Source organism: Homo sapiens, chromosome 10 (assembly GCF_000001405.40).
Source record: "Homo sapiens chromosome 10, GRCh38.p14 Primary Assembly".
NCBI lineage: Eukaryota > Metazoa > Chordata > Mammalia > Primates > Hominidae > Homo > Homo sapiens.
The window spans coordinates 77,907,623-77,932,953 of record NC_000010.11 but is presented as its reverse complement, the minus strand read 5'-3'; the positions used below and the strand labels follow the sequence as shown (position 1 = coordinate 77,932,953).

Here is a 25,331-nt window from a genome sequence, read left to right as displayed (position 1 = left end):
ACCCAAAGAACATATTTTAGAGGCAGAGTCTCACTATGTTACCCTGTTTGGCCTCGAACTTGGGTTCAAGTAATCCTCCTCCTCAGTCACCTGAGCAGCTAGGAAGAGCAGTGGGGCCTGGTAGGCCAAGTTTATCAGCAGGACAAAGCAGGACAGGGTGGAGCTCCTGGTGCTTAGCGCCCCAGCAGTGGCCACTCTGCAGTGGGCAGAGTTCATGGTCCCTGCATTAAGTTCCCAACCTGCCACCCATTTCCTGTGGCACCAGGGAGAATTTGTGACCTTCTCTCATTTTGCTTCTGATGCTTCTCCTTTTTTATTTTTTATAGACTCTGGTCTCACTATGTTGCTCAGGCTGGTCTCAAACTTCTGGGCTCAAGCAATCCTGCCTCGGCCTTCCAAAGTGCTGGGATTATAGGTGTGAGCCACGGCGCCCAGCCACTTCTCCTTTTTGAGGTACTTTCCTTCCCCATCTTCCCATTTTTAGTTGATATTATTTTGAAGTAGGGCCTCAATGCAAAACTCTTTAGTTTGTTCATTCATTCATATGTTCACCTATTAATTAAAAATACTATCTATTGAGCACCTACCACATGCCCGGTACAGTGCTGTGGAGATACAGCAGATAACAAGGTACTGGGGGCCCCTGCCTCACTGTCTGAAGACAAGCTAAATGGAAATCTTTCAGCTAGAGTCCACAACCACTCATTCATGAAACTAAAAACATCTGTTCAAAACCTGTTGCTACATGCTGTGGAGTCTTTCCTCGCAGAGGGAAGCCAAAAGAACAGTGGTACTTACCACGGATTCAGCACTAGCTACTTTGATACTATTATTGACATCCCCATTTCACACAGGAGGAAAACGAGGCAGATGGAGGTTTACCCAACATCGCTCAGCTCATAAGTTGCCAAGCCAGCATTTCAGTCAGGCATTCTGACCTACAGGAGTTGCCTGCTCTAACATTAGGGAGTTTATATGCCTGCCAGACACCAGGCATTGTGGAGGGCTTTGTATAAGTCCTATCATTTACTTCTCCTAATAACCCTACCAAAGGGTGATATTTATTGCCACTTTAGAGATGCAGAAATTGAGGCTCCGGGAAGTACAGTACCTAGCCCCAGGATACATAGCCAGTGAGTGTCAGAGCTGGGCACTGAGCTCATTTCTGTCCAGCTCCTCTGCAGGAGGGAAGGAGCATGGGGACAGAAGAGGATTGAAGAGTCAACCTTAGAGAGAAAGGAGCCAGGGGGGAGGGAGAGGAAGGTGGGAGAACAAGATGTCCCCAGTGGATGAAGCCCAGCAGAGTTGACAGTAGAGGAGGTGTGAAGGATAAGGCCTGGAGGTGGCATCAGGATGGGAGACAACAGTTTTCTATGGGGAGTTGTGCTCAGAAGCCTGATTATAGGTGGGGCATGGTGGCTAATGTCTGTAATCCCAGCACGTTGGGAGGCCAAGGCAGGAGGATAGCTTGAGGCCAGGAGTTTGAACCTAGCCTCGGCAACATAACGAGACTCTGTCTCTACAAAAATAAAAAAAAAAATACCTAGGTGTGATGATGGTGTCTGCAGTCTCAGCTACTTGGGAGGCTGAGGTGGGAGGATCACTTGAGGAGTTAGAGGCTGTAGTGAGGTATGATGGTGCCACTGCACTCCAGCCTGGGAGACAGAGTAAGAATCTATCTCTAAAAATAAATAAATAGGGCGGGGCACAGTGGCTCACGCCTATAATCCAGCACTTTGGGAGGCCCAAGAGGTGGATCTCTTGAGGCTAGGTGTTCAAGACCAGCTTGGCCAACATGGTGAAACCACATCTCTACTAAAAATACAAAAATTAAGGCCAGGTGTGGTGGCTCACACCTGTAATCCCAGCACTTTGGGAGGCCGAGGAGGGCAGATCACCTGAGGTTGGGAGTTCGAGACCAGCCTGACCAACATGGAGAAACCCCGTCTCTACTAAAAATACAAAATTAGCCAGGTGTGGTGGCACATGCCTGTAATCCCAGCTACTCAGGAGGCTGAAGCAGGAGAATCGCTTGAATCTGGAAGGTGGAGGTTGCGGTGAGCTGAGATCATGCCATTGCACTCCAGCCTGGGCAACAAGAGTGAAATTCCGTCTCAAAAAAAAAAAAAAAAAAAAAAATTAGCCAGGTGTGGTCATACGCACCTGTAATCCCAGCTACTCAGGAGGCTGAGGCAGGAGAATCACTTGAGCCTAGGAGGCAGAGGTTGCAGTGAGCCCACTGCATTCCAGCCTGGGTGACAGAGCAAGACTCTTGTCTCCAATAAATGAATAAAATAAATAAATAGGCTGGGCTTGGTGGCTCATGCCTGTAATCCCAGCACTTTGGGAGGCCGAGGCGGGTGGATCACCTGAGGTCAGGAGTTCGAGACCAGCCTGGCCAACATGGAGAAACCCCCGTCTCTACTAAAAATACAAAAATTAGCCGGGCTTGGTGGTGTGCACCTGTAGTCCTAGCTACTCGGGAGGCTGAGGCAGGAGAATCGCTTGAACCCGGGAGGTGGAGGTTGCAGTGAGCCAAAATCACGCCACTGCACTCCAGCCTGGGTGACAGAGTGCGACTCTGTCTCCAGAAAAACAAATAAAATAAATTTAAAAAAAGCAAACACAAGAATTAAAAAAAAAAGAAGCTGATTGTAAAGCACCAACCAAGCGGTGAGCAGTCTATGAGATGTGGAGGTCCCAATGTCAAGCAATGATTGTTTCCGAAGGAAACATGAGAGGAAAGGGAGGACCCTTGAGAATGGGGAGACTCAAGCCTGTTTTTGACAAATGAGAAGGAGCCCAAACCAAAGCAGAAGCAGACTGTGTGTGAGTGCGTGTGTGCAGGGGAGGAGAGGGATACACAGATTATATCCAGAGCATGGAAGGGCTCTCCTTAAAGACAAGGAGCTCTCTTTTTCTAAGACCAGAAGAAAGTAGGAAAGGTGGGTAAATCTACAGAGATGTCCTTAGGCAGTAGAAGAGTGAAGTGATAGGGTGATTTGTAAAATAGGGACCCCCGTCTTTGTCCTTCTCACCTCCCCACTGTGCTGAGGTGAGTTTGAGTTTCTTAGGACTGCCATAACCAATGACCACAAACTGGGTGGCTTAAAACAAGAACCACTGACTCCACTGCAGTTGTTTTATTGGCTCACACTTCTCAAGGTCAGAAGTCTGAAATCCAGGTGTTGGAGGGTTGGTTTCTTCTGGATACTCTCAGGGAGAATCTGTGCTGGCGTCTCCCCTAGCTTCCGGTGGTGGCTGGCCATTCTTCACATTCCTTGGCTTGCAGCCGCATCACTTCTGTCTCTGATCCATCTTCACATGGCATTTTCTCTGTGTCTCTGCATCCAAATTTCCCTATTCTAATAAGAACAACAGTTATTGGATGAGGACCCGCCCTAATCCAGTATGACCTCATTTGAACTAGATTACATCTGCAAAGACCCTATTTCTAAATAAGTCACATTCACAGGTACTGGGAATTAGGACTAGAACATATCTTTTGGGGGAACACAATTCGACCCACTACAAGGGTGTGCCGCAGAAGGTATAAAATGCTGCAGAAGTACAAGGTCACACCAAGGTCACTGGCTAAAGGAATCCTAAAATTGGTCCGGGTGGTAACTAACATCTGTAATTCCAGAACTTTGGGAGACCGAGGCGGGAGGATAACTTGAGCCCAGGAGTTCAAGACCAGCCTGGGCAATGTGGCAAGACCCTGTGTCTACAAAATATTTAAAAAATTAGCCAGGTGTGGTGGCAAGCACCTATGATCCCAGCTACTCCTCGGGAGGCTGAGGCAGGATAGTTGCTTGAGCCCAAGAAATTGAGGCTGCAGTGAACTGTGTTTGCCCCACTGCAATCCAGCCTGGGCGACAGAGTGAGACTCTGTCTCAAAAAATAAGTTTTTTTTTCTTTTTTTTGAGACAGAGTCTTGCTCGGTCACCCAGCCTGGAGTGCAGTGGTGCAATTTCAGCTCACTGCAACCTCCACCTCCTGGGTTCAAGCAATTCTCATGCCTCAGCCTCCTGAACAGCTGGGATTACAGGCTTGCACCATCATGCCTGGCTAAATTTTTGTATTTTTGTTAGAGACGGGGTTTTACCACGTTGGCCAGGCTGGTCTCCAACTCCTGAGCTCAGGCAATCCGCCTACCTCAGCCTCCCAAAGTGCTGGGATTACAGGCGTGAGCCACTTTGCCTGGCCAAAAAATATGCTTCTAACCATAAGCCAGATTCGTCTCCAACTTTTCCTCTTTTCCCCTTCCTCCACTTTCACCTTCCTTCCTCCAACTAGCTTTCTAGTTAATCCAGCTAAGAACACAGGTGCCGGATGAAAGGTGCCTGAAAGGTGACTGCCTTGCAGATGATTTAAGCTCTGGGGTTGCCCTAAGGGAAGTGGCGGCCAGAAAGAACTATATCTCAGGAGCAGGACTGGGAGGGAAGAGCCAGGGAGCCTGTCTGGAACCCTGATACTGTGCAATGGCCAGCCTTCCACTCCTCTAAAACCTTGCTTAGCCATAGAGGGTCAGACTACGGGAGCAGGCAGGTATCTTTAAATAGTTCATTTCTGCCATATTGGGGTCCATCTGGAGGTCTTAAAGAACTTGTAACTCTATGGACCCCATTCCAGAAAAATATATAAATGTTCACAAAAAAGTTGAGATCATGTCAAAAGCTTCATTGACATCCTTGAGCTTATTCATGAAGCCAAGGCTAAGAACCCCTGATCTAATATTCTCCCTCCACCATTTTTCCTAAGGACAAAACAGATCAGCAAGGATTATTGGTTTGTTCCACCTTGTGCAGCTGCTTAGAGGGGAGTCCAAGTCCAAAGTGCAAATTCTGATACTCTTGTTCTTTCTACCATATAGTGAGTTCGTTTCCATAAATAAAAACGACTTCTCCCCTTGAAGAAGCAGACTAAGAAGACACTGCTTTTTGAGGGAAGGGAGGAGGCATGTGGCTGGGACTGGCAGTGTGGGTAGACAAAGTGCCTCTCACCCCCAGCGAGATCCACTCATTCCAACGTAGATATTTGAAATGGACCTGGGTTCCCACTCTACAGAGGAGCACTGCGGGATCACTGAGCGCAGTCAGAGTTCCAGCTTTGAAGGACCTTGTCCTGCAGTCAGGGAGGTAAGCAGTATGTGTCCACAAACGGCTGTCGTGGAAGAGAAGACATTCTTGGGCTTTAAGGGGGACTGCAGATCCTTTCCAAGTCATCAAAGGAAGCAAGGTAGTCCGCTGATTTGTCTCCCTCTGAGACATTTAGGGGGAGAGCGCCTCACTTGCCAGAAAGACCAAGGACTGCACCGCAGACACCCACCTTTCTTTTCCTCATCCGGCGACACATCCTTCCTCCTGCCAACATCCTAACTCCTTTACACTCTGGGGACCAGCTCTTCTCAAATGCTGGCGCGGGGAACAGCCTATTTACCGCAGTTGAGGCGATTTTACTGGGAAATTCTCTTAGGAGCTCCTTGGAGAGGGAAAGCCTCACGGATTCGGCGGAGGTCTTAATCTGGAGATGTCCAAATTTAGGGGAAACCCTCCCCACCATTTGTCTCCAGGCTGTATTTTGGAGTTCTCAGATTAGGACCCTCTGGACTGGGGGCAAGATTTGTATGAGGGGGTCTCCAGCAGCTTGTGGGCTGGCCGCGTGCCAGGCCTGACTCCGTGTCCCCCACCCCCGGCTGCGCCTGGGCCTCGGGGGACCGGGAACCAGCCGGCGCCGCGTCCCCGCCTAGCGGGCGGGCCGGGGACCCCTCCCCTCCGCCCGTCCCCTCCTCCCCTGCTGCCGCCTCCCGGAGGGACGGCCTGGGGAGGGGAGAGAGGAGGGACGGGCCGGCGGCGGCGGGGCTGTGGCCACGGGGGAGCGGGTGGCGGCCGCGGGGCCCCGGTGAGCCGGGCCGGGGTGCACGGGGGCCGAGGCGGCCTCCGAGCCGGGCCGGAGCTGTCGGGAGCCTGGGAAACACGGCCCAGGCGACTTTCTCCCGGGAGTTGTAGTCTTGCTCTGGGGGCGGCGCGCGGCCCGGCTTTCGGGGCGAGTTTTCTCGCGGGGCGGGCGGCGCGCGCGGAGGCTGAGGGGGAGGGGGAGCATGCCCGGCTGGAGCCCGGCCTCGGGGCGCGCCCCGGCCGCCGTCCCCACCTCCGCCTCCTCCTTCTCCTCCTCCGTCTCCTCCTCCTCCTCTTCCAGTCCCGCCGCCGCGGCAGCCAACATGGCTGCGCTCCGGAGCCCGGGAGGCGGCCGCTGCTGAGCGCCGCCCGCCGCCCCGGGCCCCCAGCCCGCCCAGGCCCCGGCCCATGGCTCCCGCCGCCTCACGGCTCCCGGCGCCCTAGGGCTGCTGCCGAGGTGCTCGCCTGCCCGCCCGCCGGCCTCGGGGGGCCCGGGAGGCGTCCGGCGGGGCGGGGCGGCGCGGCCCGCCACCATGGAGCCCCAGCGCCGGGAGCTGCTCGCCCAGTGTCAGCAGAGCCTGGCCCAGGCCATGACGGAGGTGGAAGCCGTGCTCGGGCTGCTCGAGGCCGCGGGAGCGCTCAGTCCCGGCGAGCGGCGGCAGCTGGACGAGGAGGCGGGAGGCGCCAAGGCGGAGCTGCTGCTCAAGCTGCTCTTGGCCAAGGAGCGGGACCACTTCCAGGACCTGCGGGCGGCGCTGGAGAAGACGCAGCCTCACCTGCTGCCCATTCTCTACCTGAACGGCGTCGTCGGGCCGCCGCAGCCCGCCGAAGGCGCGGGTGAGTGGCAGACCCTTGGCCCCCGCCTCTGGGACGCGCCCTCCGCTTCTCCCTCCTGCTGGCCGAGGGTACCTCGCCGGGGCCGCCGCTCCACCTGGCGATGGCCTCGGTGGACTCGCTCCTCTGGCCCAGTTGGGGAGGCGGCGGTGCGCGGATCCCGAAGTCCCGCCGCCTCCCCCAGTCCCGCCGTTCGCTGTGAACAATGCCCCCCGCTGAAGGCCTTCACTCTCAGGTGCCTCGACGACAGGGTCCCCGGGGGCCACCAGGTCCAGTAGCGGGTAGGGGGTACCTCGGAGGATGTCCATCAGTCCCTTTTCTGAGGCTCCTCACCGTCCGCTAGCTTTGGCACCCTGTGCTAGCCTTTAACCAAGGGTACCGTCCAGAAGAATGGGACTTGGGCCAGGACCCCTACTCTTAAGTTTTGGTCGCTGCCATCCTGTGCCGGGGCCACAACTGCTTTTTCATTTTCTGGCTGTCCCAGCTCCTTTTTCTCTGCTCAGAGCCCAGTCTCTCCCAGACTGGTGGCTGATTGTGCACAACGCCTGCCTGGGTTTCTTTGGAAACTGGGCCCGGAAAAGTTGGGGAAGTTGCATTGCACCATGGGAAAATCCTAGTAGTGGCTGCTGGGGCTAAGTTCTCTCCCTGAGAGCACAGAGCTGCTTAACGAGGAAGGCTGGTGACTGGTTCCCTTGAGGGTGCCTTTTGGAACCCCTGTGTCTTTGGTCTTGGGGATGACTGATTTGTAAGTGTGTGTCTGGGTGCAGGAACGGATACTGGCGGGAGTTTCTGACAAGTGGTAGGCTTGTCCTGGCCTGGCCGTGGAGTGTGGAAGCCAGCCTTTTTAGACAAGGCAGCTGGAGGAAGAAGACATGGCACTGAGGGAGGAGGAGAACTAGCATTTATTGGGCATCTACTGTTGTGGCAGGCGCTCTGCTTTATCACGTTCAGTTGTCGTTGCCACTATGTGAGCTTTCTGTTATTCTTTGCCAGAGAGAAAACTCTGGCTTGGAGTGGTTAAAATGCTCAGAAAGTATTGGGCACCAGGAATTTTGAATTATAACCTATTGTTTGATTTAACTTGTTCAGAGCCAGGAAACAAAGTGCCATCTTTCTAGGTCTTGTCCCTGTTTTAACAGTGAATCGATAGGTACAGTAAAAATAAATAAGGATATATGTATAAAAGAAAAACAAGTGAACCGAGAGGGCTGAGAAACTGCCCTTAGCAACCTGAAGGTCAAAGGCTGATGGGACCCATTTATTTGGCTGTTAAAAGCCCCACTTATTAAGGGAATGATTTTATAAGGCATTCCTGGTAACAGCTCTCTTACGTTGGCCATCTTAACCTCAATTTTTGTAGCTGCAGGAAACTGACAGAGAGACTAAATTGCTGGCCACACAGCAGGTCATTTCATTGGTGGCCCTCCCGTCTCCACTTTGAGCTTCTGACTTGCATCTCTGTCCCTCAAACCTGCATTCTTTCCCCCCAGTTGTGGTCATGTCAGAGTTACTGGGCAAACCTAGTCCTTTCCTGGGATAGTGCTTTGGGAGATGCTAGGAAGGGACTGTCAGATGTGGCCATGAGGATAAGGACAGAGGGGATCTCAACAAAGTAATTTTTTTCTTTTTAATTGTATCTATGTATCTATCTAATCTATCTCTGAATGAAGAAGTTAAGATCTGTTTCTGAAAGTCTTTCGTAAAGCACAGAACTTAGTACAGACTGGAAGTCTGCGTTGGGAAGCATGTGAATCAACGCTCGCCTTAATCTCTGAAAATTGATTGATGGATCAATTGCCATTAATTAGGTCTCACCCTTTCCGTGTCTGGTGGAGAATGTGGGGCCTCATGGGGCTGAAGTTCTAGGAGCTAGTCTTGACCTCTAAGGAAGGCAGAGATTAGGGTTTGGATTTTATCCCCTAGGGCATTGATTTCAGACCCCAGTTTTACCACAATGCAGAGTTATGTGACTTTGGAGAGGGTCATGAAATCCTTAGAAAAATACTTTTCAAGGAGAAGTTAAGTTCATTTTACTTAATGCATTAGAAAAACGCTGGTTGGGTGTGGTGGCTCATGCCTGTAATCCCAGCACTTTGGGAGGCCGAGGCGGGCAGATCTCTTAAGGCCAGGAGTTCGAGACCAGCCTGGCCAACATGGTGAAACCCCGTCTCTAATAAAAATACAAAAATTAACTGGGCGTGGTTGTGGGCGCCTGTAGTCCCAGCTACTTGGGAGGCTGAGGCAGGAGAATCACTTGAATCTGGGAAGTGGAGGTTACAGTGAGTTGACATGGTGCCCTTGGATTCCAGCCTAGGTGACAGAGCAAGACTCCTTCTCAAAAAAAAAGAAAGAAAAAAGTTAGGACAGCATTTGGTATGGCAAGATGCCACCTGAAGCCCCTGGGGAAGAGGGTGACATGGTGTGTCAGCAAACAGTGGCGTGTTGGGGGCTTTTGTTTTTTTGAGACAGGGTCTCACTGTGTCACCCAGGCTGGAGTGCAGTGGCACAATCTCGGCTCACTGCAGCCTCCGCCTCCTGGTCTCAAGCCATCCTCCTGCCTCAGCCCCGCAAGTAGCTGGGACCACAGGCACATGCCACCACACCAGCTAATTTTTGTATATTGTGTAGAGATGGCATTTCTCCATGTTGTCTAGGATGGTCTCGAACTCCTGAGCTCAAGCGATCTGCTTGCCTCAGCCTCCCAAAAGTGTTGGGATTACAGGCGTGAGCCACTGCCCCGGCGCAGGGGAGGCTCCTTTGTGAAGGGTAAATTGCTGTGTTGTAGGTCTCCACTTTTTTGCTTTTTTTTCTTTTAGCCAGGAAGTATTCCTTATGGTCAAAGCTCAGTGCATAAGAGAGCGGCTCTGGCTGAAGGAATGGAAGTCTTCTTCCTTGAGGAGCCATAGTCAGGAAAACCCAGCACTTGGTCCTGCCTCCTTCCACTCCTGAGTGATTTCCACTCTGTGCTCTGGGCAGCAGCTCTGGGTTTGAATTGGCCTCAGTTCGAGGCCATTGCGGAGCCTGAGAGAGGAACCAGCTGGCTCCCTGGGATCCTTAGCGTCAAGGGGTGGCTGCTTTGGCACCGATTCTCTGTTGGAGATGATGCCATCACCCACCTAGGAGCTTCCTTGATGGATTCCACACCCTGTGTGGGCTCCTGATCCAGAATGCCCATCCCCCACTGGCACTTGGGTGCTGAGGGAGTCTGCATCGGCAGCAGCCTACCACGTGGGGCCTGGAACTGGAAGGAAACTGGGGAGGACATGTGCCTGGGTGTTGGTGGGCAGGTGAGCAAACCCAACCCATCGGGGCAACTCTTGCTGAGTTAGATCCCCAGACATTTAAACCTACCACGCTCAGGCCTGGGGGTGTGGAGTGACTAGGAGACACACTGTGTTGTGGTTTTTTTGTTGGAGGTGTGGCTCTTATTCCGGTATTGATAGGGCATTGTCATTCAGGATTTTGTGTCCTATCTTCATATCTCATTAACTCTGTGGCAGCCCCAGGGAGATGAGTGGTGTCTTATGATCTTTGGTTCCAGGGCCCTGTCTGTAAGGAAGAAGTCGCAGGGCAGAAAGGTGCCTGAGTCAAGGCCAAGCCCAGTGCCCCTGATTCCTTGTCTGGGGTGGTTTTTCCTGTTCCCTGGTTAGGCCTTCCCACTACAATTTCAGGACATTTCCAGTCACTGTGGGACTCTGAAATTATGTAGCTTTCTTTTGTCCCGGATTTGATACATGGATCTGCGGGGAACAAGCGAACACCTTTGCCCCAGCTGGTGGTAGGGAGAAGACAGAATTGTTTACTTCTGAGTGGCTCAGTTGGGTCTCTTGTTTTTCCCAGTAACCAAGTCTAGCTTGGTCACTTGGAGCCCCATGCAGTCCTTTGTTTTTTCCCTTTGATTTGGGGAAACACCTGAGTTTTTTCCCTTGAGGATTCTCAACTCCCTGCCCCTGGGGTGAGCCTCAGTATCTTCATCTGTAAGATGGGGCTAATGGTGCTGCACTGCCTGCCTCTGTCACCGGGAGCATTGAAGTGCCTGGCCCAGGTGGGGCTGGGGTGTAGACAGGGGCCGGGGTGCACAGGATGTAATTCTAGTCCGTAGCTTGCCGCCTTGTTGGGGGAATGGGACGCTCATGAGAGTGACATTATGAGACAGGTCAACTGATAGAGATGCACAAACAGGCTTTTTCTTTTATAAAAAACTCGGTATGCTACACACTTTCCCCAGATACTCTCATTCACCTTTAGTGGCTCTCATTACCATCTAAATGTGGGACTCCTCAAGTCATTCCCACCAGGCCTCTATTGGGAGGCAGAAATGGCAGAACTTGGCTGGACCTCTCGCGTGCTCATTGCCTGATGTTTCCTTCTCGTTCCCACTCCCCACACCTCCTGTGCCTCCTCTTTACTTTCCTAGTGAACTGGCTGGCTTGCTTCATCAAACTTAAGAGAATGGAGCCAGCAGCGTCCGCTGGAGAAGCCGAGGAGAGCTTCACGAATGTGCTGGGACTTGGTGTTGAAGTGAAGCTCTGAATGCATGGAGCCATGGAGGGAGGACGTGTGGGCTGCGTAGGCTGGACCGCACAGGCTGAGCCATAGAGAGGAGCCATGTGTTTACCCAGCCTGAGCAGAGCAGGGGTTTGGCCTTGGCTCTGGGTGGAAGGGAATTGGGGATGCAGAGGTAATCTGGAGGACCTTAATGGCTAGGCTGAGTGGGAGGTTTGAATTTAGGCATTGTACACTGTCAGAAATTAGAGCTGGAAGTTTGTTTTTTTTCCCCAAGGGAATAACCCTGCCAGGCTTTTCTAGTGGGACTAATGCAGATGGGTGCTGATTGTCAGGTGTGGGTTATTTATTATTCAGCAGAGGTTGCCTGGCCTTTTGTTCTCTCTCCACTTCCTTCGGGTACCAGCCACCTTTTCTTCATCCCCTCTGCCCTGGAGGGTCAGCAGGGCAAGGGACATAAGTAAAAGCTCCAGCTGTTGTGGTTTTTCTTTTGGTTCTTTTGTTTGTTTATTTACTTATTTTTTAGAGACAGTGGAGTGCAGTGGTGCAATCATAGCTCACTGCAGCCTCAAACTCCTGGGCTCAAGCCATCCTCCTGCCTCAGCCTCCTTAGTAGCTAAGATTACAGGCGCATGCCACCCTGCATGGCTAATTTAGGTGGTTTTAATTGTGTTATTTAAGAGGAAGTGGCAGAGTCATTTGAAATTAATGGTTGAGAAGAGGTTTTTAAGTGAAGGGCAGATTTTATCTGTGTATCATTTCAGGGTACCTTTATTGCAAAATGACAGAAACTTAGCTCAGATCATCTTAGGTAGAAAAAGAGAAATGTATTGACTTAGAATATTCCACAACCTTTGGATGGATGGTGGAAACTGGCCTTTGGGACGTTTGACCTCTTGGATCGATGCTGTGGGCTTTTCCCACGGGTCTGAACATGACCTCAGGCCCCTCTGTTCAGGTTCACAGCCCCTGACCAGGGAAGAAAGGGAGCTCTATCCAATCAGCCCAGGCAGACAAACCTCATGGTAGGATTCTGATTGGTCTGGCCAGTGTTATGTGTCCACATGAGGCCCGGTCACTGTGGCCAGGGCTAGAGGACTAAGACTGGCTCAGCTTTGGCACTGTGCCCAGCAGTGGAACCCCAGGGTAAGGTGATGGGCTACTGTGATTGGCAGCCCATTCCAACACTATGTGGGTTTTTAGAGGGAGGCAGAGCAGTTGTCTAAAGGAAGACAAGCAGCAGCGATGTCACGCAGGTAAAAGAGCAGATGAATGTCCACTCCAAGCATTACCACCTTTGTGCGATAATACAGTTAGCACAGGCGGTCATTGCTGGAGTGGGATGGTGGGTCTAGGTAGTAATGATCAGACCTTACAAGGTTTTAGACCTTGAGCAAGGTTTTTAACCCTTCTGAGCTTATCTCCTCTACAAAGTAATTAAAACACTAACTACTTCACTGTGCTATTTGACAATCCATGGTAGGAAAAATGGAAGAGCATTTTGTTACCCTGAGTAATATAGCACAACAGTGGCAGTAGTAGACAGCAACTAGCCTTAGAACCAGAAAACTGGGAATCTCCTGGTGTTTCTGAGGGTTCTGTGGGAGCTCCTTGTATACTATGCCAAGCAGGTGTCAGAGCTGTCCTCCCTGAGCTGAATTTGCTGTTATAGTCCTCATGCCCAGAATAGAGCCTAGTACAAGATAGGTGTTCGATAATTTTTTGTTGAACGAATGAATAGTCAGCTGTGTGTAGAGTGAATGATGTATCCTTGTCCAGATCATCTTCAAATATACATGCAGATTCCTAAGTGGTGACCTCATGGTGGCAGAGGCTGTGGGAGAGGAGGAAGGCTTGAGCAAGCCCCAGATGTACACAGGGATATCACCGCCCACGGTATGTCTGTGATGGAAGCAGGTGGTGTGACATTGATGTCTGAAGTTCCCAAGGTTGCCCATCAGGTACTGGTGGTGTGGAGCTGGCTGCCAGGAGCCATGTGGAGCACCCACGCTGTCTAAGAGTAGAAAGTCATTCCCTTTCTACACATAGAATTTGAATGTCAACTTGATGTCCTCAAAAGAATACTGAGGAACTTTTCTTTAAAAAAAAAAAAAAAAAAAAAAAAAAAAGCCCTGAACTGGAGATCTGTTCCTAACTGCAAAATCTTGACCTTGGCAGAGCCTTTTAGCTTCCTGGTGCTTGTTTTTTTTTTTTCCCCCAGTTCAACAGTCAAAACAGAAGAGGTTGAGCATTGACGGGAGACTTGCTCATTCCTGTGGGGTTTTGAGCACTTCCCAGGTGGCATTTGGTCCAAGGAGGTTGGGTGATTGGGTTGGACTCGATTTTGGGGGCCCTTCCAGCTCTACATCAGGATTGCTGTTAATCTGATTTAATGTTAGTGTTGAGTGGTTTTTGATACTCTGGTTTTCCATTTCCTGAAAAAGTAAGCAGAGTAGGATAAATATTTTGTTTCAGTTTTTTTTTTGTTTGTTTGTTTTGAGATGGAGCCTTGCTCTGTCGCCCAGGCTGGAGTGCAGTGGTGCAATCTCAGCTTACTGCACCCTCTGCCTCCCAGGTTCAAGTGATTCTCTTGTCTCAGCCTTCCGAGTGGCTGGGATTACAGGTGTGTGCCATCACCCCCGGCTAATTTTTATATTTTTAGTAGAGACGGGATTTTGCCATCTTGGCCAGGCTGGTCTCGAATTCCTGACCTCAGGTGATCCGCCTACCTCAGCCTCCCAGAGTGCTGTGATTATAGGCATGAGCCACCACTCTCGGCCGTTGTCTCATTTTTTTTTGTCCCACCTCATTCCAACCACCTGTATGTTCTGCCCCATGCGAGGGGGCTCTATAGTCGTTTCCTGAAACCCTGGGAAGATGTGAGCCACAGAGGTAGCAAACATAGAGAAAGAGGGCTGAGCTGCGTGTTGGCCTGGACAGTAGGGATGCTATGTGTGTTCAGCAGGGAAGAATCTTAAATGGGATTGCGCTGGGGGGAAATTGGATTTTTTTTTCGCCTTTTACCTGGGATAGACTGCATTCCTCTGAACGGTGTATCTCTATTGATCTTTTTGAGACTGCGTTCCACAAAAGTGCTACAGAAACATTTTAAACCAAATAGAGATGTTTGGAGCGTCCCATGTTGGCAGTCTATCCCTCTAAACCCTTGGTAGATAATTCCTGTTGACCTTGACGTTCATTTCACACTAAGGCTCATAACCCATTTGCTTTGAGGATTTAAACAAAATTGTGATAATAATTTACATAACATGAAATTTACCATTTGAACCTTTTTTTTTTTTGATACAGAGTCTCACTCTGTCACCTAGGCTGGAGTGCAATGGTGCGATCTCGGCTCATGCAACCTTCGCCTCCCCAGTTGCAGCAATTCTCCTCCTTCAGCCTCCCAAGTAGCTGGGACTACAGGCATGTGCCACCACACCTGGCTAATTTTTTTGTATTTTTAGTAGAGACAAGGTTTCCCCATGTTGGCCAGGCTGGTCTTGAACTCCTGACCTCAAATGGTCCGCCCACCTTGGCCTCTCAAAGTGCTGGGATTACAGGCGTGAGCCACCGCACCCGGCCTTGAACCATTTTTTATTGTGGAAAAATATATATAACATTTACTATTTTAATAACTTTTTAAGTGTACAAATTCAGTAGCATTAAGTTTTTTGTTTTTTGTTTTTTTTTTTGAGACAGAGTTTTGCTCTTGTTGCCCAGGCTGGAGTACAATGGCATGATCTCGGCTCACCACAACCTCCGCCTCCTGGGTTCTCCTGCCTCAGTCTCCCGGGTAGCTGAGATTACAGGTGCCCACCACCACGCCTGGCTAATTTTTGTATTTTTAGTAGAGACGGGGTTTCACCACGTTGGCCAGGCTGGTCTCGAACTCCGTACCTCAGGTGATCCACCCGCCTCGGCCTCCCAAAGTGCTGGGATTACAGGCGTGAGCCACTGCGCCCAGCCAGCATTAAGTATTTGTACACTGCTGTGCAAACATCAGCACCATCCATCTCTAGAAATTTTTCATCTTGCAAAATCGAAACTCTGTACCTATTGAATAATAACTACATGGCCCCCTAGACCTTGACAGTCACCATTATATGAATATTTCCTGTCTGTCTCTTTTTTTCTTTCTTTCTTTCTTGCTGTCTTTCTCTCTCTCTCTTTCTTCTTTTTTTTTTTTTGGAGATGGAGTCTCACTCTGTTGCTCAGGCTGGAATGCATGGAGTGCGGTGGTACTCATGGCTCACTGCAGCTTCAACCTCCCATGCTCAATTGATCCTCCCACCTCAGCCTCCCGAGTAGCAGGGACTATAGGCACATGCCACCACACCCAGCTCCTTTTTTTGTTTGTTTGTTTTTTTTTGAGATGGAGTCTCGTTCTCTTGCCCAGGCTGCAGTGCAGTGGCGCGATCTCGGCTCACTGCAAGCTCTGCCTCCCGGGTTCACGCCATTCTCCCACCTCAGCCTCCTGAGTAGCTGGGACTACAGGCGCCCGCCACCATGCCCGACTGATTTTTTGTTTTTGTATTTTTTTAAGAGACGGGGCTTTGCCATGTTGCCCAGGCTGGTCTTGAACTCCTGGATTCAAGCGATCTGGCCGCCTTGGCCTCTCAAGTTGTCCGTTTCTAGGAATTTGACTACTTTAGGTATCTTTTATAAGTGAAGTCAATACAGATTTGTCTTTTTGTGACTGGCTTACTTCTCTAAGCATAAAGTCCTCAAGGTTCATCCATATTTTAGTATATGTCAAAATTCCTTTTTTAGGCCGAATAATATTCATATATATATATATATATATATTCTATATTTTATTTGTTTCTTTACCTGTTGATGGACACATTTGGGTTGTTTTCACCTTTTAGCCATTGTGAATAATGCTGCTATGACACCATGGGTGTACAAATATCTCTTCGAGTCCCTGCTTTCTCTTCTTTTGGGTTTATACCCAGAAGTGAACTTGCTGGGTCATATGGTAATTCTGTGTTCAATTTTTTGAGAAGGTACCATACTGTTTACTCTGAGTTTTAATTAAGGAAATCCATACTGTTCACAGCACCCTGACATGGGGGTGGATAGCATTTTCTTTCCTTTTTTTCTTCTAAAAATTGTTTTTGGCCGGGCGTGGTGGCTCATGCCTGTAATCCCAGCATTTTGGGAGGCTGAGGCGGGTGGATCATCTGAGGCTAGGAGTTCGAGACTAGCTGGCCAACATGATGAAACCCCATCTCTACTAAAAATACAAAAATTTAGCCGGGCGTGGTGGTTGTGTGCCTGTAATCCCAGCTACTTGGGAGGCTGAGGCAGGAGAAGTGCTTGAACCCATGAGGCAGAGGCTGCAGTTAGCTGAGATCGTGCCATTTCACTCCAGCCTGGGCAACAAGAGCGAAACTCTGTCTTACAAAAAAAAAAATTTTTTTTCTTCCTTCAGATATGGTTTGGAAAGTCTTAGGACAGTTCAGTAGTTATCTGTGACTCTTTTCTTTTTTGAGACAGGGTCTTGCTCTGTTGTTTGGGCTGAGTGCAGTGGCATGATCATGGCTTACTGTGGCCTCAACCTCCTGGGCTCAAGCAATCCTCCTGCCTCAGCCTCCTGAGTAGTTGGTACTACAGGCGTGTGCCACCATGCCCAGCTAATTTTTTTTTTATTTTTAGTAGAGACAAGGTCTCACTATATTGCCCAGGCTGGTCTCGAACTCCTGGCCTCAAACAATCCATTATTGAATAAGCCACCACACCTGTCCTACATGTGACTCTTTGGAGGCCAGACATTAACCAAACAATCCTAGTGGCATTCATATCTGGCAGCCAAGGAATGTTCACACATTTTCTTTGTGTTTTCAGTACTTACATCTTCATCCCTAAAGGCCTTGAAGCATGTTCGTTATTTTTGCTCTTTGGATACTTCCTCCTTATCCCGTTTAGGATTGGTTTGGTTTTTCAGTCTCAAATCCGGGATAACAAGGCTATTGAGACTTTCTTTCAAAAGGCCTAGATCAGCATTTCCCAAAGAAACATCTTCTAACTGCTAGTTTGCTGGGATGTTAGTGTTGCTATGCCCTAAAAGGGTTCTGTGGTCAAATGCATCCAGGCAGTGCTAGGTTCTTTTCTGCAGGCCCCTTGAGAGGGCTAAGCCAGTGTGCTTTGGGGCTTCACTAGAGTGGCTTTATTAGGCAGTGTTTCCCAAACTGATTTAACCACAGAGTCCTTTATCATGGAGCATCTTGCGACATCAGTGTTCTGAGGAATGCATTTTTGGGAAATTAAAACATTAATGTGTGAAACTGGAGCATCAACGTATACCATCATTTTTTTACGTTTCCCCTAGCCCTCTCATTCAGAGTACCAAAACACTAAACGTTCCTATTTTTTTTTTTTTTTGAAACGGCATCTCACTCTGTCGCTCAGGCTGGAGTGCAGTGGTGCAATCTTGGTTCACTGCAACCTTCGTCCCCCGGGTTCAAGCAATTCTCCTGCCTCAGCCTACCAAGTAGCTGGGATTACAGGTGCCTGCCACTGCGCCCAGCTAATTTTTGTATTTTTAGTAGAGATGGGGTTTCACTCTCTTGGCCAGGCTGGTCTTGAACTCCTGACCTCGTGATCCACCTACCTTAGCCTCCCAAAGTGCTGGGATTACAGGTGCAAGCCACCGTGCCCAGCCCCTAGTCTTTTAAATTCTGATACCAGCTGAAATAGTCACATGTGATTCTGGGGCTAGTAGTCATTATTTTATAGATGTGTGTCTTCTCTGGTCCTGTTTCCCCTATGGAGTTCGCCAAGAATGAAGCCTGGTTTTGTGATCATTATTCTTTGAATTGCTCTAGAGACTAGAAATGAGTGAAGAGAACTGGGCTTTGGGCCACAGTTGGGGTTTCTGGGAGAGCCTTGGAAAGATTTGTGGAGAGCCATCCTGGTGGTTTGGCGGCTGCAGGTCTGGGACTGGTTAAGTTTTGGGCAACTCTTTGCTGAGCCCCTGGGAGGTTCTGGGCTAGGAGGTGGGGAAGGTGGTCTCTGCTTTCAGAGTGTTATGTTACTCCTGGGAGGAGAAGGACATGGATGAATGACCCAGGGGGCATTCTTGGTGGGTTTGGAGCCAGGGAGCAAGGCTGCGGGACTGGAGACATCTGAATGTCATGAGTCCACTCTTGGGGACCCCCACAGACTGGGGCTTAAATCTTAGCTCTTTACTCCTAAGCTGTGTGACTTCAAGTCGCTTAACCTCCTGGGCCTGCTTTCTCTTCCCCATCTGTAGAAGAGGGGCTAATAATATTCACCCAGGGCTTTGGTGAGGGTGGAGATGATTTAGGTGAGACAGGAGCAAGCTGCTGCTGCCGCCTCTGGAGCTACTGGGGGTAGCTTGTCCCTGAGTAGAGAACAAGCTCCCAGCCTGTGCATGGAATCAGGAGGCATCCCAGGGCATAGGCCATACTTGGAGTTCAAATGGGAGATGCCCAAGGCAGAGGCCTGCAGTGGACGAGGAGGCCCATGCTTCTCTGGGCTGCTCAAAAGACACCTTCACAATTCTTTGGTCCTGAAGCCCACATTTTTAAGGAGGGCATTGCTGTGACCTGTGAGTTCAGTTCCAAAAGGACCTTGAAGAGCTTGTTTTTGAGGAAAGGATACTTAGAGGGACTTAGATGCTGCTCATTTTCAGATGGTGCAGGGTATGTGATAAGACCTGATTCTCTTTGATCCCAGAAAGCTGAACATGGTCTGATTGCCAGAAGGTACTTGGAGGTAGAATTGAGTTCATTTTAAGGAAGAACCATTCTCCCTCCCTGTCTTTCTTCCTTTTAAAATTCTATTAAAGACTTTCAAGAGCCAGGCATGGTGGCTTATACCTGTAATCCCAGCGCTTTAGGAGGTCGAGACAGGAGGATTCCTTGAGCCCAGGAGTTTGAGACCAGCCTGGGCAACACGGCAAAACCCCATGTCTACAAAAATAAAAAAAAATTAGCTGAGCAAGGGGACACTGCCTGTATCCCCAGCTATTCGGGAGGCTGAGGCGGGAGGATTGGTTGAGCCCAAGAGTTTGAGGTTGCAGTGAGCTCTGAGTGTACCACTGCACTCCAGCCTGGGAGACAGAGCCAGACCCCAGCTCTAAAAAAGTAAAAAATGAAAAAGACATTCACACATGTGGAAGAACAGAGAGGATAATGTAACAATCACCCATCTCTCCCAACCAAATCCCAGGCAGCATGTCATTTTTCTTATAAATACTTAAAGATGTGTCTCTAAGAGATGAGGCATTAATAATAATTTCTTAATGTTATCAAGTTGCCCGGGTGATGCTCAGTTTTGCTTGTCTCAAAGATGTCATTTTATTGGTGGCTTATTAAAATCAGGATTTTAGCAAGGGCCACCCACTGCATTTAGTTGATGTTGTCTCTGAAGTCTGTTTTATAATCCCTGGCAGCTCCCCTTGCCCAGGCCGGTTGTTTCAGGAAGAACTTTTAAAAATGATTGGTGCTATCCAGCTCTGGAGTGGACTGTTCTAGGTGGCGACTTGCAATCCTGAAACTGTTTAGCCATGGTTTCCTCAGAGGGCTGATGCAAACAATTAAATGAAATAACACGTACAAAGTGTAAATGTCTTTTATGACTTAAGTTTTTTATTTTTATTTTTTTTAGCCATGAGGTCTTTTTTGTTAACTGCACTCTTAGGTGAGAGCCAGATCTGTAAATTAGACGAGAGAGGCACTGATGGGGAGTATGGGCTTGGAGCTTGTCCCTTGAGCTTGTGGCCTTCTTGAGGCTCCTCCACAGGTTTCCCTGGGGTTCTCCACAGTTCACAGAACCCAGTTTGAAAACCACTGGTCTGCTTGCTTTTGGTTTAAGATGCTCCCCATGTGGGAGAGGGAAGCACCACCTGAAAGCCTCACCTTGCTTTGCGTGAGCTGAGCTGGGGTGGTGAGCCACTGCTGGAGCCAGAGGCTGCAGATGGTGTTTTCACTGGGTACTCTTGTCTTCACCTGCTTCCTTTGTAGGTTTCCTCTTGGGATGAACTGTGCTTTTAAAAAAGACACATAGCCACTTTGTGGCGAGTAAAAACCACTCTCTGTTAACCAGGACAGTGATGTGGGGAGGAGCAGAGTGAAAATCCCATCAGAAGGTCAATTGCAGTGAGCAGTGGTTACTTTTTTTTTTTGAAAAATTATTCTTGTGGGCATGCTGGCATGTTCCTGTAGTCCTAGCTACTTGGGAGGCTGAGGAGGGAGGATCGCTTGAGCCCAAGAGTTCTGGGCTGTAGTGTGCTATGCTAATCAGGTGGCCAGTTTGGCATCAATATGGTGACCCTGGGAGCAGGAGACCACCAGGTTGCCTAAGGAGGTCAGAAATGGAGCAGGTTAAAACTCTCATGCTGATCAGTGGTGGGGTCATGCCTGTGAATAGCTACTGCACTCCAACCTGGGCAACATAGTGAGACCCTACCCCATCTCTATAAATAAATTGATAGATAGATATAAATAGAAAAATTAACCTTTTTTTTTTTTTTTTTTTAAAGAGACAGGGTCTTACCCTGTTGCCCATGCTGTCATGATTGATGGCATGATCCTAGCTCAATGTAATCTTGAACTCCTGGGCTCAGGCGATCCTCCTGCCTCAGCCTCCCTGAGTAGCTAGGACAACAGGTACCCACCATCATGCTGAGCTAATTAAAAAAAAAAATTCATAGAGATGGGGTCTCGCTGTGTTGCCCAGGCTGGTCTTGAACTCCTGGCCTTAAGTGATCCTCCCTCCTCAGCCTCCCAAAGTGTTGGGATCACAGGCATGAGTTGCCACACCCAGCCTGTTTTTTTTTTTTTTTAAGAAAATGTTATCACTTGTTTGCCTTACCCCTCTATTGCATAAGAGAACTGTTCGTTTTTATGCGTAAACAAGCTCCTGCTAACATGCAGCCTGCCGTGGGGGCTGCAGGGCTGCCCGTGTGGAAAGCGGTGCCATTAGAGATGGCCATCTCTGACTCAGAGCTGCTGCCCTGGTGGCCACCTCAAGCCAGGGTGTGTTTTCCCTGCCAACAGGATTTTTATAGATGTGGCATGCCTCTCAAACCTCTTCTTCAGAGTCCACCCCAGTTTGCTTGTCTGAATGGTACCTCCCTGGCTCTAAGATGACCCCTGAGTCCCCAAATTAAATCTGCACATATTTGACCATTGCCAATCTGCTATCCAAATGTAGTAAAGATCTTTCCAGCCAATATTGAGGAAGGTGATAGCAAAACAAAGGAAACAAAATCTAATTCTATTTACATATTTTAACGTAAGAAGTAATACTTTAAAATACTTTAATTCTGGCTAGGTGTGGTAGCTTACACCTGTAATTCCAGCACTTTGGGAGGCAGGCGGATTGCTTGAGCCCAGGAGTTCGAGACCAGCCTGAGCAACATAGGGAGACCCCATCTGTACAAAAAATACAAAAATTAGCTGTGGCGCATGCCTGTGGTCCCAGTTGCTTGGGAGACTGAGGTGGGAGGATCCCTTGAACCTGACAGGTAGAGGTTGCATGAGCTGAGATTGGGCCAGTGCACTCCAACCTGGGTGGACAGTAAGACCCTGTCTCAATCAATCAATCAATCAATAAAACACTTTAATTCTTAAAAAAAATATATAGTGGCCTTTTCAGTATTCATGGTAACCTCTATTCTCATTCCAAGTAACCTTTCTTCTCATCTGACCAGAACTTCTTTTCCTGTTTATGTTTTTTTTTTTTTTTTTTTTTTCCTTCAGACAGAATCTCGCTCTGTCACACAGGCTGCACTCCAGACTAGAGTGCAGTGGTGCAGTCTCAGCTCACTGCAACCTCTGACTTCCAGGTTCAAGAGATTCTTGTGTCTCAGCCTCCCCAGTAGCTGGGATTACAGGCGTGTGCCATCACACCCAGGTAATTTTTGGTATTTTTAGTAGAGACGGCGTTTTATCATGTTGGTCGGGCTGATCTCAAACTCTGACTTCAGGTGATCCACCTGCCTTGGCCCCCCAAAGTGCTGGGATTACAGATGTGAACCACGACGCCCGGCCTACATTTCTTAAGGAGCCTATGATTGTTGAATGCCATGGCTGGAAGGGATCTTAGAAACCACTTTGCCCAAACTCCTTATTTTACAAATGAGAAACAGGTCTCTTCCCAGGCTGGGGTTCCTTCCAAGACTTCTTTACCAGGAGCAGGCTGGGTGGGAAGTCTCAGATCCGTGGCTAGTTTTTCCTGACATTCTCCTGGCTTTGTGGGCACCAGCCTTTACAGTGAGGGTGAGCAAGTGACACAGCATCCCAGTTTCTGGACTTGAGCTACAGCCTTTAATTCCTGATCAATGAAAAAAATCTTTTATCAGCCTCTGCAATTGATATTTATCTTTTACAGATGGGCACACTCGGCCAGTAGAGTTTGGTAGCCTGCTCAGGGCCATCAGCTGCTGAGAGGCTAGGCAAGCCCTGGAGTCCTTGTCAGTTTTTTGATAATGACTACCTTTACTCGGTACTGCAGGCCACCCTGTGACCATTTCTGTGGTCTGAGCCTTGCCTACCTCTCCACCTCTCTTCGTCACAGCATTCGTCCATTCATTCAGCAGATGTGTTCTGAGCATCTGTCACACTGGGGGCTTTCTGGATGTAGACGTAGGACGTGATATCTAAATTGAGTGCTGAGTCGGGGAATGGGTCTGATGCTGGCAGGGAGACCCATGACTCCTTTTTGTGACACAGCAGAAACTCTGGGTGCTGGCTGCCGTGGCTTCTTCTTGCTTAGTCACAGGGCAGAGTTCAGGCAGGAAAATGAGGCCACCGGGCCTCTTGTCCCAGGGAAAAAAGCCTTTTATAAAGATAAGAGGATAAGGCCCCGTGGACACTGAGTTGGGACCCACCCTGATAGCCAATCTCAGTAGGAGCTGGATCCAAGAAAAAGCAGGAAAGTAAACAAAACCAAAATGTGCTGGTTTTGAGTCCTTCTCCTGAAAAAAACGGAGCTAAACCCATGGCGGTTTAGAGTTTAGGGGCTGTGGGTGTGAGTATATATGCGCCTATGTATCCCCCCACTCATTTTTGCTAGAAAATGGCAAACCACCTTTCTGTATCTTGTTGCATTTCCCCCGATTTTGTGAGCCCAGGGAGAGAGAACAAAACGGTGACCAGCTGTCCTTGTTTCTGTGGGAAGTTGTGAAATTTCATGTAGTCTTGATCTTTTGTCCTCAGCCACCCTCATTTTTTTTTTAATACCTTTAAGTTCTGGGGTACATGTGCAGAACACGCAGGCTTGTTACATAGGTATACACGTGCCATGGTGGTTTGCTGCACCCATCAACCCGTCATCTACATTAGGTATTTCTTCTGTTGCTATCCCTCTCCTAGACCCCCACCCCTGACAGGCCCTGGTGTGTGATGTTCCCCTCCTTGTGTCCATGTGTTCTCATTGTTCAACTCTCACTTAGGAGTGAGAACATGCAGTATTTGGTTTTCTGTAACCTCCCTCATCTTCAGGCTTCTCATGAGAACTCAGTGGAGCTGGTCACAGTGTCTTCTCCTTGCATGAGATAACACAAGCTTTAGGGTGGAGCCCAGATTCTGACAAGAGTTTATCTGTCTATCTCTCCAGCAAGTACCTGGTCACTACTCTTTACCAGGCTCGGCTAAGTGCTGAGCATGCAAAGATGGAAAGATATCTACCATGAACAATATTCCAACCTGGATTCGTTCTTTTAGCTGGAACATATATATCCTGCTGTTGTGTTTCAAAGGTTTTCCTTTTTAATTGCTCTATTGTGGAGCTTTTAGAAATACCAGAAAATAATCAGCCTAGCTTATACTGACTTCCTCCTTCTCACCTTCCATTTTGTGCTTTATAGCACATGGCAAGTGTTTTTGTGTCTAAAAATCCATCAGATTCTCAGAAGGGCAACAAAGAAGATGGCTTCTCTCCCCCCACCCCCCAGGAGTTTATTGTCTTGTTGGAAAACTTGAACAAGTGGGTATCTAGTAGTACAGATAGTGCCAGACAGGTGAGGCTGCTTGAAGTTTCAGTGCCTAAGGAAGGAGGGTGTATGGTGAGCTGGGCATAGGCAGGCGGCTGGAAGGAGGGAGGTAGACCTGGCGAGGGGAGAGCACAGAGCAGGACTTGGGAGAGAATCCATTCTGTGACTGGCGGGTTTGTCTGGTAATTCAGGGCTTCTGATTGGAGCATTCGCTCAGCAGGTGCTGGAAAAATGAGGCCAGGCCAACCAGCCTCTGCTGTCCTTCCAGTCATTCTCTCTGGGCTGGTTCTCTTGTGAGGCTGCTGGGGCTGGAGAGGGGAATGGGTTGGGTTGGCATTGGGTGGGAGGCTGATGGGTGGTCTGTGATGTGTGAAGGAGGACCCGGTGGCCGCAGGTGGGTAGGTGAGGATGTAGACTGGCTGGCCTTCCCAGGATCCCCTGAGGTGTCTGACTGGCTGTCTGTGAGTTGCTAGGAGGATTGGAAAGCCAGCGTTCTCCCCAGTTTCAACTCTGAGAGTTACAGTGGGGATGTTTGGAAATAGAGTTGGTGTGTCCTCTGGGGAGTGTGGGACATGTTCCTGTGTTGTGGCTGTCTCTTTGGGGAGGAGAAGAGCATGGCTAAGGAGAGAGGGGGCTGAGGGTACCTCTGCTTTCCAGGCCTCATGTCCTCACCTCTGCAGTGGGATCCGTGACTCCCTCGCCCTCTTGTGGCTTGTGTGAAAGGTAGGTGGCTGCTGCAGGTTCATGGCCACACATGGGTGGTTGTATGCTGTGTAGGTGGTAGGTGTTGTGTTGCATAGGATACTTTATTATTTTTGTATTTATTTTCTCATTTGATCTCACCAGCAACCTTTTAGGGGTCCTTACCTGACCTTACAAGTGAGGAAACAGGTAAGGAAGGCCGGGTTACTCAGGAGTCAGTTTAGGAGAGTAATTAAGAGCCTGTACCTGAGCCAAGATACTGGGTTTGAATCCTGAATCTGCCACTTACCGTGACCATGGCCAAATTGCTTTCTCTCTCTGTGCCTTGGTTTCCTCATCTGTGGAATGGGGATAATAACAGGACCTTGTATTGTGAGGGTTAAATAAGTTAGTAAGTGTTGACAGCAGTGTGTGGCACATGG

The 25,331-nt window shown here is 49.2% G+C and overlaps 1 protein-coding gene, 1 long non-coding RNA gene and 1 pseudogene across 9 annotated transcripts in view, besides 7 other annotated features; 2 read left to right on the top strand and 1 right to left on the bottom strand.

Moving 5' to 3' along the window:
* Positions 1–25,331, top strand: part of DLG5 (discs large MAGUK scaffold protein 5) — a 149,946-nt gene that overhangs the window by 7,783 nt on the left and 116,832 nt on the right. For 7 of the 8 annotated variants that reach the window (XM_005270276.5, XM_006718056.4, NM_004747.4 and 4 more), the window contains exon 1: positions 6,199–6,737. The exons of the other annotated variant lie outside the window; for it this stretch is intronic. In XM_005270276.5, the coding sequence (XP_005270333.1) occupies positions 6,434–6,737 (304 nt within the window). In that variant the 5' untranslated portion in view covers positions 6,199–6,433. Of the gene's footprint in view, positions 1–6,198; positions 6,738–25,331 lie in introns of those variants that run through there. 8 annotated transcript variants of the gene reach the window in all.
* DLG5-AS1 (DLG5 antisense RNA 1) lies at positions 3,129–6,142 on the bottom strand. The gene has a single exon (NR_024585.1). It is a non-coding gene; the product is annotated as a DLG5 antisense RNA 1 (long non-coding RNA).
* Positions 4,330–4,506: a silencer, noted in NCBI's record as "fragment chr10:79688206-79688382 (GRCh37/hg19 assembly coordinates)". NCBI's record gives its function as "represses an EF-1alpha promoter that drives an FKBP-Casp9 reporter gene in an ReSE screen in HepG2 liver carcinoma cells {active_cell/tissue: HepG2}" and the evidence as "EXISTENCE:reporter gene assay evidence [ECO:0000049][PMID:32094911]".
* Positions 12,049–12,343: an enhancer, noted in NCBI's record as "tiled region #2984; K562 Activating non-DNase unmatched - State 14:Gen5'". NCBI's record gives its function as "activates a minimal TATA promoter and a strong SV40 promoter by Sharpr-MPRA in K562 cells {active_cell/tissue: K562}" and the evidence as "EXISTENCE:reporter gene assay evidence [ECO:0000049][PMID:27701403]".
* Positions 20,409–20,683, top strand: RN7SL284P (RNA, 7SL, cytoplasmic 284, pseudogene; annotated as a pseudogene).
* Positions 22,870–23,014: an enhancer, noted in NCBI's record as "145 bp enhancer 123 fragment used in the MPRA reporter construct; PK_construct_3128". NCBI's record gives its function as "activates an SV40 promoter by MPRA in HepG2 cells {active_cell/tissue: HepG2}" and the evidence as "EXISTENCE:reporter gene assay evidence [ECO:0000049][PMID:23512712]".
* Positions 22,870–23,059: a biological region, named in NCBI's record as "NFE2L2 motif-containing MPRA enhancers 69 and 123".
* Positions 22,915–23,059: an enhancer, noted in NCBI's record as "145 bp enhancer 69 fragment used in the MPRA reporter construct; PK_construct_3580". NCBI's record gives its function as "activates an SV40 promoter by MPRA in HepG2 and K562 cells {active_cell/tissue: HepG2 | K562}" and the evidence as "EXISTENCE:reporter gene assay evidence [ECO:0000049][PMID:23512712]".
* Positions 22,937–22,947: a transcriptional cis regulatory region, noted in NCBI's record as "NFE2L2 motif; MPRA enhancer 123 activity is reduced when this motif is scrambled". NCBI's record gives its function as "necessary for full MPRA enhancer 123 activity {active_cell/tissue: HepG2}" and the evidence as "EXISTENCE:site-directed mutagenesis evidence [ECO:0005528][PMID:23512712]".
* Positions 22,982–22,992: a transcriptional cis regulatory region, noted in NCBI's record as "NFE2L2 motif; MPRA enhancer 69 activity is reduced when this motif is scrambled". NCBI's record gives its function as "necessary for full MPRA enhancer 69 activity {active_cell/tissue: HepG2 | K562}" and the evidence as "EXISTENCE:site-directed mutagenesis evidence [ECO:0005528][PMID:23512712]".